The sequence below is a fragment of the Homo sapiens genome, chromosome 2 (assembly GCF_000001405.40).
Source record: "Homo sapiens chromosome 2, GRCh38.p14 Primary Assembly".
Lineage (NCBI taxonomy): Eukaryota > Metazoa > Chordata > Mammalia > Primates > Hominidae > Homo > Homo sapiens.
In genome coordinates this window covers 20604647-20617723 of record NC_000002.12, presented here as the reverse complement: position 1 = coordinate 20617723, position 13077 = coordinate 20604647, and the positions used below count along the sequence as shown (strand labels likewise).

The following is a 13077-nucleotide window of genomic DNA, read 5'->3' as shown; positions in this document are numbered from 1 at the left end:
CCACTATTGCTCCTTGGCCCTGTCCTGCCTGGCAGAAGCATTGAGCGGGTGGGACTAGGACCTCAGACCCTTTTCTGATAGACACCAAAGCCAGCCCTGAGGGAGCCCCCGGCTGATGGTGCGGGTGGTTTGCAGCCATCAGTGTTGAGTGTCTCAGCTCCTGGCCCGTGCCAGGACCTGTCTGCTCTGTCCTGCATCTGATCACGTCCCTCTCCAGCTGTGGCGCCCTGTCCTGAGCAGCTTCCCCTCCACCAGTGCTAGAGTGAGAGGAAACAGGTGGTTTTGGGGTCGAGAGCTGACTCCCTCCTCCTCCGTCTTAACCCAGGCTCAGAGGGTCAGCTCCCTCCCCAGGGCTCTGAGCCAGCTCTGGGACAGCTCCAGCACCGGCTCCACCCATTTGCCTTCCCCCTTCACACCCGCCCCTCCTTCCCAGCACTCAGCCCCGGGCCCTGCATCCCTTGCTGACTGCAGCGGAAGGTCTCAGTAGGAGTGGGGAGGGGATGGGGCCAGGTCTTCCTCCGAGAGGTGGCTCCAGCTCTCCTCTGGGCTTTGTCCCCTCCCTGCCCTTTCTGCACCCTGATGCTGGCTCCCTGCCTCCTGCTCCCCACCTGCTTTGGGTCAAGTGACATAGGAGCAGAGGGCACAGCGGGGTAGGTGGCCACAGGGGCTGGTGCTCTGCTTGGGGTCACTGGCAGAACCTGGCCTGCCCGTTGTGTATTCATCCACTGTGGACGCCACCTCCTCAGTGGTCTGGACTCTCTGGACACCATCACAAAGACCCCCAGATATTGATGCTCCAGTATCTGTGGCTTGTTCTTCACCCACAGGACTGCGACTCATGGCCAATCAATGATCCTTGTCGCCTGATAAAGCCTGTGCCTGTGACCCATTCCAGCCTGTGTTAGTGATGTTCTTTTCTGTGCCTAGGCTGATGGCAGACCACCAGGGAGGGGAGAGGGGGAGAGGATTGTCCTTTAAAACAATGGACTCAGCCAGGGAAGCTGCCCTGCCCCAGTCACCCAGGCTGCTGCTTAGGGTAGGGGAAGGGGAGGATTCTGGTCACTCCTCACTATGCCAACCAAGGCAGAGGAGGCATAGAGTCCCAGGCCCAGTGTGGTCATCGGGCCAGTAACTGCACAGCCAAGACCCATGTAGAAAGAAAGAGGACCCCTTTCTGTCTCCAGACCTACCCCCTATTCTCCCACAGTGGAGATGGTCTAGGCTTGGACTGGCCCTGGGGCCCTTTCAGGTCTGACATCAGATGGCCCTGCGCCTCTGTCAGCAAACCCGCCCTGGCCTTCAGGGCTCAGGTTCTTAGATGCAGCTTCAGCCCTGGGACCCAGGGATGCTGAAGTAGAGAGTTCTGTCAACTGAAATCCACTAGAGAACTAGAAACAGGTTCTCAGGGAGCCTGAGAGGCCTCCTGCAGGGACAGAATGTGGCCTCTATCCCCCCCAAGATTTTGGTTGGAGTCTTGTAGCTAAGATTGAGCTGGAGTCCTGGCTCCTGAGGACAGGCACTTTGGCCATTCTGAGAAGGTCTGCTCAGGCCAGGAGCCTGCAGCTGAGAGTTCCCTGTGGAAGGGAAACAGAAGTTTAACTGGGGACAACAACACTTGTTTATTTCGAAGCCTGTTGTGAGCCCATGGACAGGATGTACTGTCTATGGCTGGGGTCCCACTGCTCCCTTCCTCCCGGCATTGTTCCTCTTAGGAAGCCGGGAACTCAGGCCAGTTCTGGAAAGTCCCTAGGGCCTTCCCTGGCCAGGCCTGTGTCATGGGCCCCCCTGGAGAGCACCTACCTGTTGAGTACTGGTGTCCCATGACCACGTCCATACAATGTATCTGGGACTAAGTTCACCTCCATGTGCCCCACGGGCTCCTCTGAGTCTCAAGCTCTCACACAAGGTACAGACGAGACAGCAAAGTCCAGCCACTCTCTGGGGCCCTGTGGCCTTATTGTCCAGCGGCCACCTGGGCGTTGTGTTGACATACTTGGTGCAGTGATTTAATACCCGGTGTCAGGCTGATGTGGAGGGTCATTCCCATTTCTCTAGCTCACCAGCTGCCTAGCTGAGCCAATCCTGGGAAACAGAGAGGGTAACAGAGCTACCAGCATGTCCCCACATAGTGGTCCTGCCTGCTGCTATTGGCTTCATGTGGGTTCACAGCTGCCCAGAGCAAACATAGTCAATGCTCAGAGCCTCCTCAAGGAGCTGAAGTCTCAGCATCAAGCTATGAATGGTCCCACTCACTACAAACTCTGATCGCTCCAAACCATTCCCTGCTCAGCACCCTAAGGCCTTGCAGTTGGGGAAGCTGACTGAGGGGCCGGTGGGGAAGCAGATCCAGGGGCCGGTGGAGGAGCAGTAGGGACTGGCCCTTGAGTTCTCATGCAGCCCACAGCATCCTGTGAAGCAGCAGCCAGGTTCTGTGGGCACAAACGGCCAGGGTTCCAGTCCAGCTTGGCTGTGTGATATCCCCTCACCCCACAGTGCCAAGTGAAGAGACTTACCCACCCTGGGTCCTGGGAGGAAGCCAGGTAGACTATAAAGTCCTCTACGTGCCTGAAGGAATTTCAGTGGACTGGTCATGCTAGATCCTCACAGAGGGACTTCCCTGCCCGGTACCAGCTAGCTCCTAACAGGAGGTGGCAGGCCACTGGGCAAGTGATCAACAGGCCTGTCAACAGCTCAGTCAAGTCCCCAGCCCCAGTGCTGACCACTGACTTCTATGCCAGGCCTGGCGCTGCGACACACAGAATCCCACGCGGTACACAGATATCCACCCTCCTCTGTGGCTGGCCTCTCACTCCTGTGCTCCGTGGCTCTGGCTACTGGGAAGAGCCAAGCAATTTCATGTGTCGGGTCATGCTCAGGCTAAAGCTACAGCTTCTGAAGTGGGATTATGGGCTCAGCATGTGGCCTCGGTAAGCCGACTCTTTATTGCTGACTTTCAGAGGCCTGATGCTTCTCTGCCAACTCAGCACATAGCAGCCGCCTCTGAATGGCTTTTTAAATAAAGCTGGGCTAGCTCTCTCCAGGCCAACTGGCCAATCATGTCGTTTGTTTTCCCACATGCAGAGCTCATCCATAAACACTAAGCACGTAATGGGCACCTACCGTGTGCAGTACCTGTTCCAGGCAAGTTGGAGGAAGCAAAGATGAAAAAACTTGAGCCATTAAAGCCAATTCTACCAGGAGCCATGCTGAGCCTCTAGTTTCACTTCTGTTCTCTGGGCCTTCTGCCTGAACCTCAGGCACAACTAAAGGAGGTGCCTCCTCCATGCGGCCCTCTCTGCCTGTCCTTCCCCCTCTGCCACCTGCCAGCATGGACAGTTTGTTACCTGCAGCCTGGGCTCAGCTTTTGTTCCATTTCCTGGAGCTGCCTTGGCAAAGCACCATAAACTGGGTGGCTTTAAACCACAGGAATGTATTATCTCACAGTTCTGGGGGTCACGAGTCTAAAATCAAGGTGTTAGTAGGGCCATGGTCCCTCTGAAATCTCTAGGGAAGGATCCTACTTTGTTTTGTCCTGGCTTCTGGGGGTTTCCTGGCAACACTTGGGGTCCCTTGGTTTATAGCTGTATCACCCCAGCCTCTGCCTTTGTCTTCATATGAGTTTCTCTCCTCTGTGTCTGTGTCTTCACACGGTGTCTTCTCTGTGTCTGTGCCCAAATTTCCCTCTTATAGGAAAGAATACCAGTCATTGGATTACGGCCCACTGTAATCTGATATGACCTCATTTCCCTTTAATTATACCTGCAAAGGCCCTATTTCCAAATAGGAGCACCTTCACAGCGTCCTTGTGGACATGAATTTGAAGGGACGCAATTCGACCCAGTACAGTTACCACCTGTCCTGAGCACGTGGCATTCAGCAGCAAGCAGAGGCCCATTCCATTCTGCAAGGCATGCCCCCTGTGCCATCCCTGTGTACTCTGTGTGTTTCAGCAGTGCCATGTCGGTTTCACTCCCATGTGAGGGGACGTGTCAGGAGGAAGCTGGGCAGGCAGTTGTGTGTGTAGACACCCACCACGGGCCATCATTATAAAGTTCTGTCCTTTGCAGCTGCTGCCAGACATGTCAAATTCTCTCTATCAAAAGCTGGATCTCTTTATTAAATAGTGAAATGACTCCTTAGATAACATGTGGCACAAACTGGAGAGCTGGTGACACTCAGAGCTATCCTGGCTGGCAGGCGGGCAGCGGCGTTCCTTCCTTCCTTCCTCCAGCAGTGCCCCTCTGGAGAAGGCCTTCCCTGGCTGGACCAGCACTGTCTGTTCAGAGCCATAGGCAGCTGAGTCCTGGGGCTCCCCCTTGCCATCACCCCATTATCCTCTCGCTGGCCTCCGAGGTAGTCGGAAAGGGCTCTGAGGATGCTGGCAGTGGGAACTAAAGGCTTCCGGAGCATGGGAGCTGCAGGCCAACTGCCTTTACTGCTGCCTTCTCAAGCTGGTTTTCTTCCTTTGCTGAGATCGCCCTTGACGTCTCCACAGTGTGTTTCTGTTTTTCCTTTTGGTGTTATCGCCACTTTGCTGATTTTCCCCTAACAAGTGCTCTAGGTCCCAGAGGGCAATGTTTTTCTGGATTAGAAAGTAGAACAGCTGATTTCTTGCCCACCTGTTTCTCAGACATCAGAAGCTGCAGAGAGGCTGAGCTTGACTCAGTCCCCCCCATCCCCAGATGGCTTCATTTTACACCTAGGTTGGTTCCAGGACCCTAAATTGGGCTCTGTCTGCTTGTATGGGTGGCCCTAGGATTTGCATCGGGACCTCACAGTCTATAAAATCCATGGCTGTGGAATGGAAAATGGTGCAGCACTTTGGGAAATAGATTTAGCAGTTTTTACAACAAGTAAACATAAATGTACCACACAAATCAGCAATTCCACTCCTAGGCATATACCTAAAGAGAAAGAGAAATATATGTCCAGTCAAAGGCTTGTACACAGATGTTCATAGCAGCTTTATTTATCACAGCCAAAAAGTGGAAACAATGGAAAAGCCTCTCGGCTGGTGAATGGATAAACTAAATGCAGTAAATCCATATAATGGAATATTATTAGATCACAAAAACGAATGGAGTGATACATGCTGCAATATGGATCTACCTCAAATACATCATGTTAAGTGACAGAAGCTAGACTCAAAAGACCACGTATTGTATGATTCTATGTATAGGAAATTTCCAGGACAAATCTACAGAGACAGAAAGATTAATGGTTGCTTCAAGCAGAGGTTGGAACTAACAGTGACTGCAAAAGGGCACAAAGAATCTTTCCCAGGGTGATAGAAATGCTCTAAAGTTGGCTTGTTGTGATGGTTGCACAATTTGATAAGTTTACTAAAATTGTTCAATTGTACACTTAAAATGGGTGATGTTTACGGTATATAAATTATATCTCAATAAAACTGTTAGGATAATTTAATGATTGGAAAAAGAAGGAAACCAACAAATCCATAGGCAGCAGAGTGCAGAGATTAAAAATGTGAGCCAACTCCTGGCTTTTGGGCTTCCTGGCTGTGTGACCCTGGGCCAGTTACTTAACCTCTCTGTGCCCCAATTTCCTCCTCTATAAAATGGGGGTAATAATTTTACCTGCCTCATTAGGGTAGTATAAGGCTAAATGAGTTAATATTTGTAAAGTTATTTGAACAATACCTGATGCATAGTATTCATTATATGTGTGTAATTAACATTCTGTTGAAATTCTGTTAAGCTGCTGTCTATTGGGCTATGAGGAATCCTAGAGTTTGAGTACTCCCTCTCTTCATCTGAGAGTGAACACCAGACATCTTCGTGGAAAGGGGTGCTGATGGCTTGCTCTCCATGGAGGGTGGTTGTAGGTGCGGGAGGAGGCTGTGCCACCCTCTGCCATCTCTCAGCTTCTCTGAACCCCACGCTGCTGAGCAGGGTGATGGCCTGCTTCTGCTGCCTCACCGTGGGGTGGGGGGCATGGGAATGGGCACATACAAAACCACTGGAGACCCAGAAAGGGGCCCTGGGATTGAGGGACCCTGTGTCCAGGGGGCCCTGGTATGTGACTGGGGACTGGATCCAGGTGGGTCATGGAGGTCTACCAAAGGGAGGGTAGATGGAACGAACTGGAAATGAGCCATTCTGACAAGGAATAATGTCAACAGGACTGCGGCAGCGGGGAGTACATTCCAGCTCACCCCACACTCAGAGCAACAACAGCTCTCCCAGCACCATGGAGACAGGAAGTAAACACATCGGTTTCCCTCTCCTGGTCCCTGAACTTTGCGCACGATGTGGTCAAGTGGAGAGAGGTTTCTGGCAGTCCCAGCGGCCCATGGTCAGGCTGGCCTGTATCCCTTTCTCTTTACCCCTTGGGATTTCCCAGCTTCCTTATCAACCCTCAATCACTTTGGGAGGGAGTGAGCCAGCGTTCCCCCTTCCTTCGAAAAGAAGCCACACACACAAAGACTTAGACACGAATGTTCACAGCAACATTATTCATAAGGGTTCCTCCCCCAAAGGAAACAACCCAAATATCCATCAAACAAACGGTCAATGAACAAGCAAACAGTGGCACATGGATGCAGCGGAATGCTGTGCAGCGTCAAAAAGGAAAAACCCTCTAACAGACATACCACAATGGATATCACAAACATGCTAAGTGAAAGAAGCCAGACCCCAAAACTATATCTTGTATGATCCCACATATATGAAACCCTAGAAAAGGCAAAATTGTAGTGACAGAAAGCAGACCCATGGTTGCCAGGGGCTGGGGATGGGCAGGACAGGAGTGGTTGGCTGCAAGGGGCCATGAGGCAGCTTTTGGGAGTGATGGAAGTGTGCTACGCTGTGAGCATGACTATAAACGTTCACCAAAACTCATCAAACTGTGCACTTAAAATGGGAACATTTGATTATACGCGAATTATATCTCAATATACCTGTGGAAACCACAGTACAAAACTGAACATACTCTTACCATACTCTCCAGCATTTGTGCTCCTTGGTATTTACCCAAAGGAGTTAAAACTTATGTCCTCACAAAAATCTGTACATGGATGCTTATAGCAGCTTGATTCACAATTACCAAGACTTGGGAGCAACCAAGATGTCCTTTGGTAGGTGAATGAGTAAACAGACTGCAGTATATCCAGGTGATGATTCCACTGAGCATTTAATTCAGTGCTAAAAAGAAATGTGCTATCGAGCCATGAAAAGATATGGAGGAAACTTAAATGCCTATTACTAAGTGAAAGAAGGCAATCTGAAAAGGATATATATGTTGTATGATTCCAGCTATCTGACCTGGAAAAAGCAAAACCACAGAGACCATAAAAAGATCAGTGGTTTCTGGGGTTCAAGGGGAAGAGAGGGATGAATAGGAGGAGCACAGAGGATTTTTAGGGCAAAAACTTATCTGTATGATACTCTCATGGTGGATCCGTGGCATTATTCATTAGTTTAAACCTACAGAATGCACCGCACCAAGAGTGAACCCTAATGTATGCTATGGCTCTGGGTGATAAGGAGGCGTCCATGTGTCCATGTAGGTTCACTGGTAAATGTCCCACTCTGGTGCAGGCTGTTGCTGGTGGGCGAGGCTGTGCATGTGTGGGGGCAGGAGGCATGTGGGGACTTTGTACTCTCTGTTCAATTGTGCTGTGAACCTAAAACTGCTCTTTAAAAAAAATCTACTTAAAAATAAAAAAGGAACCACAGGGAGGAAGCTCATGAAGTAGAAGATGCCTGCTGCCCCAAGATACCTGGTATCCCCAGACCATGCCCCACCTTTGGTGATAGCCCCCACAGTCCCCAGGGTACCTGGGCTCCAAGTGAGGCTTAGCAAACGTTTCACTGATGGTGGGAGGGGTTTCCAGTCCAGTAAATGGGAAAAACTGAGTCAAGGGGCTGGGGGCACCCTCTGAGGGAAAGGACACCTCCAGAGTCCTCTGGAGCAATGAGGGGTCAGAATCCTCAATTGGCCTGGAAGTCCTGGCACCAACTGGCCTTTGTTCCTTGACAGCATCTCTCTCCTCCTCTGTACGATTTCCAGCTTTTCTTTTTCTTCCTCTAGTTACCCTGTGTTGTCCTGGACAGGTGAATGGGGAGAATTAACTGCATGGTGGCTCAGGGCCTACTGGCACAGTATGGGATGACACACAGCTGAGCAAATCCACAGAGCGGCTCAGCCCAGCCTTCCCTCCTCTCCCCCACTCCTGGAATGAAGCCAAGAGGAGCCTCAGTATTCGGAAAACTGTTCAATGTGCTCCCTAGAGAAGGCTCCAAGAGCTGAGCTACAACAGGCCTCACGAGAACAGGCCTTTTCCTGGAGGAGAGCTCAGAGGTCCCCCCGGGCCCCTGGAACGGCTTTGAAGTGGCAATCTTACTGAAGGTCTCCACCAGGACCCCTTTGGCTTGGGGAGTGCATGGTCCTTTGCTGGGATGCAGGAAGGCTGCTGTGGGTTCTCATGTGGCAGAGAGCGAGGACTAGAGCCCTGAGAACCTGACTTCTCACAGGCACTATTAGAGCAGCAGGCCAGGATCCTGATGCAGCGCCTGGCGGCCTCTGCCCCCAAGGACGGTGCTCATCCTGCAGCTACCCATGGGTGGAGAGCCACAGAGCAGGGGCCCTTGAACACCTGTGTTTCTTGGATGGGCATCAGTTCTCTCTGGGCTCCTGCCAATCAGGCCAACAAGGTTTTGGGGTTTGTTTTCCCTGTAGCCAGGCGGGCTCAGACATAGCTCTTCTCAGCAAGCCTGACCTCTTAGGCTTTTCAGGACCTCAGCATTTATGAAGTGTGCCTCAGGCCTCTTCATGCTCAGAGCTGTGGGAGAGGGCCAGGGAGGAGAGATGCATGACTAGTTGGAGCCACAGGAGTGAGGCATAGGAACTCCGCAAAAAACTCTTGGTTTGAAAGATAGAGCACTGAATCAGAAAGTGGAGGGCAGAGGTGGGGACTAGAGGATGTGAGTGTGGCAAAGGCTGGAGAACTGGTTTCCTTGGGGCAGCAGAGTGAGCAAGGGTGACAGCCGGACACCCTGGAGAAAGTAGAGGATGAGCCAATGAGAGTCAAGAAAACACTTGGTGAAAGACAGAAATCTTTGCCCGAAGATCAGGAACAAGACAGGATGCCCGTTTCTGCTACTTCTTTTTTTTTTTTTTTTTTTTTTGAGACGGAGTTTCGCTCTTGTTGCCCGGGCTGGGGTGCAATGGTGCAATCATGGCTCACTGCAAACTCCACCTCCCGGGTTCAAGAGATTCTCCTGCTTCAGTCTCCCAAGTAGCTGGGATTACAGGCATGCACCACCACAGCCAGCTAATTTTGTATTTTTAGTAGAGACGGGGTTTCACCATGTTGGTCAGGCTGGTCTCGAACTCCCAACCTCAGGTGATCCTCCCGCATCGGCCTCCCAAAGTGCTGGGATTACAGGCATGAGCCACCACACCCGGCCTGTTTCTGCTACTTCTATGCAATATTGTACTGGAAGTTCTAGCCAGAGAAACTAGGCAAGAAAAAAAAAAGACATCTAGATAGTAAAATAAGCAGGAGAACCACATTTATTTGCAGATGACATGATCTTACATGTAGCTGATACTAAAGAATCTACAAAAAAACTATTATAGCTAATATATGAATTTGACAAAGTTGAAGGATACAATATTAACACAAAATTAGTTATATTTCTATACACACTACAAAAGGAAAATCAAGAAAACGATTCAATTTACAATAGCACCAAACACAATAAAATAACTAGAAATGAATTTAACAAAGGGAGGGGAAGACTTGAACATTGAAAACTATGTAACACCGCTGAAAGAAATTAAATAAAATTTAAGAAAATAAAAAGACATTCCATGTTCATTGATTAGAAGACTTGATATTGTTAAAATGACAGTAATCTCCAAATAGATCTACAGATTTAATGCCATGCTTATCAAAATCCCAATGTGATGTTTTTACAGAAATGGAAAAGCTAATCCTAAAATTTGTATGGAATTACAAGGGACCCTGAATAGCTAAAGCAATCTTCAAAAAGAAGAGCAAAGTTGGAGGACTTATACTTCCCAATTTCAAAAGTCACTACAAAGTTACAGTAATCAAAACAGTGTGGCACTGGCACAGGATAGACATATAGATCAACTGGATGGAATTAAGAGTCCAGATATAAACTCATACACGTGTGGCACTTGATTTATGACAAGGGTGCCAAGACCATTCCATGCAGAATAGCCTCCCAAGAAATTGTATTGGAGGGGACATCCACGTGTAAAAGAATGAAGTCAGAGGCCAGGTGTGGTGGCTCATGCCTGTAATCCCAGCACATTGGGAGGCTGAGGTGGGCAGATCACTTGAGGTCAGGAGTTTGAGACCAGCCTGGCCAACATGGTGAAACCCTGTCTCTTCTAAAAATACAAAAATTAGCTGGGCATAGTCATGGGTGTCTGTAACTCCAGCTACTCAGGAGGCCAAGGCAGGAGAATTGCTTGAACCTGGGAGGTGGAGGTTGCAGTGAGCTGAGACCACACCACTGCACTCCAGCCTGGGCGATGGAGCAAGACTCTGTCTCAAAAAAAAAAAAGAATGAAGTTGCACCCTACCTCATACCATATGCAAAAATTAACTCAACATAAATCAAAGACCTAAATATAAGAGCTATTACTATAAAACTCTTAATAAAAATATAGGGTAAGTCTTCATGACCTGAGATTTGGCCATGGATTATTAGATATGACACCAAGAGCACAAGCGGCCAAAAAAAAATAAAAAGATAAATTGATGAATTTATCGAAACTAAAAACTTTTGTGCTTCCAAGGACAACATCAAGAGAGTGAAAGACAACACAAAGAATAGGACAAAATGTTTGCAAACCATATATCGTTTAAGGATCTAGTGTCTAGAATATATAAAGAACTCCTACAACTCAACAACAAATAACCCAATTTAAAAATTGGCATAGGATTTACATAGGCATTTATTCAAAGAAAATATACAAAGGACAACAAACACATGAAAATATGTTCAGTGTCTTTTTGTCTGACATCTTAGCGAGGCTGTAGCGTTCACCGCTGCTCTCTGAGCTTTGCAATGCCACCCAAGGACAAGAAGAAGAAGAAAGACGCTGGAAAGTTGGCCAGGAAAGACAAAGACCCAGTGAGCAAATCCGGGGACAAGGCCAAAAAGAAGAAGTGCTCCAAAGACATAGTTCGGGACAAGCCCAATAACTTAGTTTTGTTTGACAAAACTACCTAAGACAAACCCTGTAAGGAAGTTCCCAACTGTAAACTTATAACCCCAGCTATGGTGTCTGAGAGACTGAAGATTTGAGTCTCCCTGGCCAGGGCAGCCTTCAGGAGCTCCTTAGCAAAGGACTCATCAAACTGGTTTCAAAGCAGAGTTCAAGTAATTTATACCAGAAATACCAAGGGTGGAGATGCACCAGCTGCTGGTGAAGACGCATGAACAGGTCCAACCAACTGTACATTTAGAAAAATAAAACTTTATTAAATCAAAGAAAAAGAAAATATGCTCAGTGAAATCATTAGTCAAAAATATACAAATCAAAACCACAATGAGATACCCACTTAAATCTATTCAGATGGCTAGAATTTTTTTTTTTTGAAAGAAAAATAACAAATGTTGGTGAGGATGTAGAGGAACTGAAAGCTTCATACCCTGCTGATAGGAATGTAGAATGGTATGGTCAATATGGAAAATAGTGTGGTGGTTCCTCAAGAAGTAAAATAGAATTACTGTATGACCCAGCATTCCACTCCTAGGTATATGCCCCAAAGAATTGAAGACAGGGGTTCGAACAAAACTCATGCAAGAATGTTCCTAGTGGCACTATTCACAATAGCTAAAAGGTGGAAACAACATAAACATCCATCAGTGGAAGAACAAATCAACAAAATGTGGTTTATCCATCCAACAGAATATTATTGAGTCATAAAGAACAGCCCTAAAGTATTAGTACAAGAAGTGCTGACACACACTAGGACATGGATGAACCTTGAAAACATTCAGCTGAGTGAAAGAAGCCAGTCACCAAGGGTCACACATTGTAGGATACCATTTATATGAAATACCCAGAAAAGACAGATTTAAAGAGACAGAAGAAGGTAGGTAGCTGGTTGCCAGGGGCTGGGAGTGCGGGGAGGTATAGGTTTTCCTTTGGGGGGTGATGACATATTCCGGAAGTCGATAGCAACAAGAGTTGTACAGCTTTGTAAATATACTAAACACCACTGAATTGTACCCTTTAAAATGGTTAAAATGGTAAATTTTATGTGATGTGTATTTTACCACCGCCACCACCAAAAACAAAAAGTTTACCTAGGACATGATGGGAACAAAAGGAAGGTGGCCTTGCCTGCCAGGCCGAGGCCTTGGAGTCATCGATGATGAGGGGTGAGGGTGACATGGAAAGCCTGAAGGGTGTGGAGGATGGAAGGCATGAAGCAAGTGGGGGGTGCAACCTGTGTCTATAGATGATGCTGAAATCTTGATGAGGAGAAGCTGGGGAGCCATGGGCCTCCCAGGTTTGGGAAGCTCGTGTGTGTTTGTGCACTTCCTGTGAATAATAAGAGCTGGGACTTGTCTGTCTTGGCTGCATCTAAACTGAAGACAAATTCTCCCCTGGTTTGGCAGGAAACATTTGAAGCTATTGCCAAGACATCTGTTTCATCATTCTTGGCAACAAAAGGCATCCTGAGAGAGAGACTCAAGGCTGGAACTGGGAACATCCATGATTCTTTTTCCTTTTCTCCCGTGGGACTTTAAATGAACGCTCCCAACCTCAAGGAGCCTGGGCTGCAGAGAATCTGGTGTTTAGGGAGAGAAATGAGTCGGAGTGGGGATGGGAGGGCAGGTAGTGCAACCAGGTGAGGCCCAATAATATCCTGAAAACCCAGACTCCGTGGCAGAGTCTCTCTCAGGGGATGGGATGGAAGCATCTTCCCTCCTCTGCGACCTGCTTGGCTTCTGGCATGAAGAAACTGGGGGAACTGGCCCAGAACAAAGAACACAGGTTTTGCTGTCAGACAGGCTGGATGTGAATCCCAGCTTGCTCACTCTCTAAGCCACCTTGAGCCAG

General features: G+C 48.5%; 1 protein-coding gene and 1 pseudogene across 3 annotated transcripts in view, besides 3 other annotated features; both read left to right on the top strand.

The window, feature by feature from the left end:
* HS1BP3 (HCLS1 binding protein 3) overlaps positions 1 to 13077 on the top strand; it is a 97238-nt gene that overhangs the window by 33375 nt on the left and 50786 nt on the right. The window lies entirely within an intron of this gene.
* Positions 10 to 901: an enhancer, noted in NCBI's record as "H3K4me1 hESC enhancer chr2:20816583-20817474 (GRCh37/hg19 assembly coordinates)". NCBI's record gives its function as "activates a minimal SCP1, AML or CMV promoter by ChIP-STARR-seq in naive H9 embryonic stem cells {active_cell/tissue: H9 hESC(naive)}" and the evidence as "EXISTENCE:reporter gene assay evidence [ECO:0000049][PMID:30033119]".
* Positions 1816 to 2768: an enhancer, noted in NCBI's record as "OCT4-NANOG-H3K27ac-H3K4me1 hESC enhancer chr2:20814716-20815668 (GRCh37/hg19 assembly coordinates)". NCBI's record gives its function as "activates a minimal SCP1, AML or CMV promoter by ChIP-STARR-seq in primed H9 embryonic stem cells {active_cell/tissue: H9 hESC(primed)}" and the evidence as "EXISTENCE:reporter gene assay evidence [ECO:0000049][PMID:30033119]".
* Positions 8060 to 8559: an enhancer, noted in NCBI's record as "H3K4me1 hESC enhancer chr2:20808925-20809424 (GRCh37/hg19 assembly coordinates)". NCBI's record gives its function as "activates a minimal SCP1, AML or CMV promoter by ChIP-STARR-seq in primed H9 embryonic stem cells {active_cell/tissue: H9 hESC(primed)}" and the evidence as "EXISTENCE:reporter gene assay evidence [ECO:0000049][PMID:30033119]".
* On the top strand, positions 11070 to 11444 carry RPS25P3 (ribosomal protein S25 pseudogene 3; annotated as a pseudogene).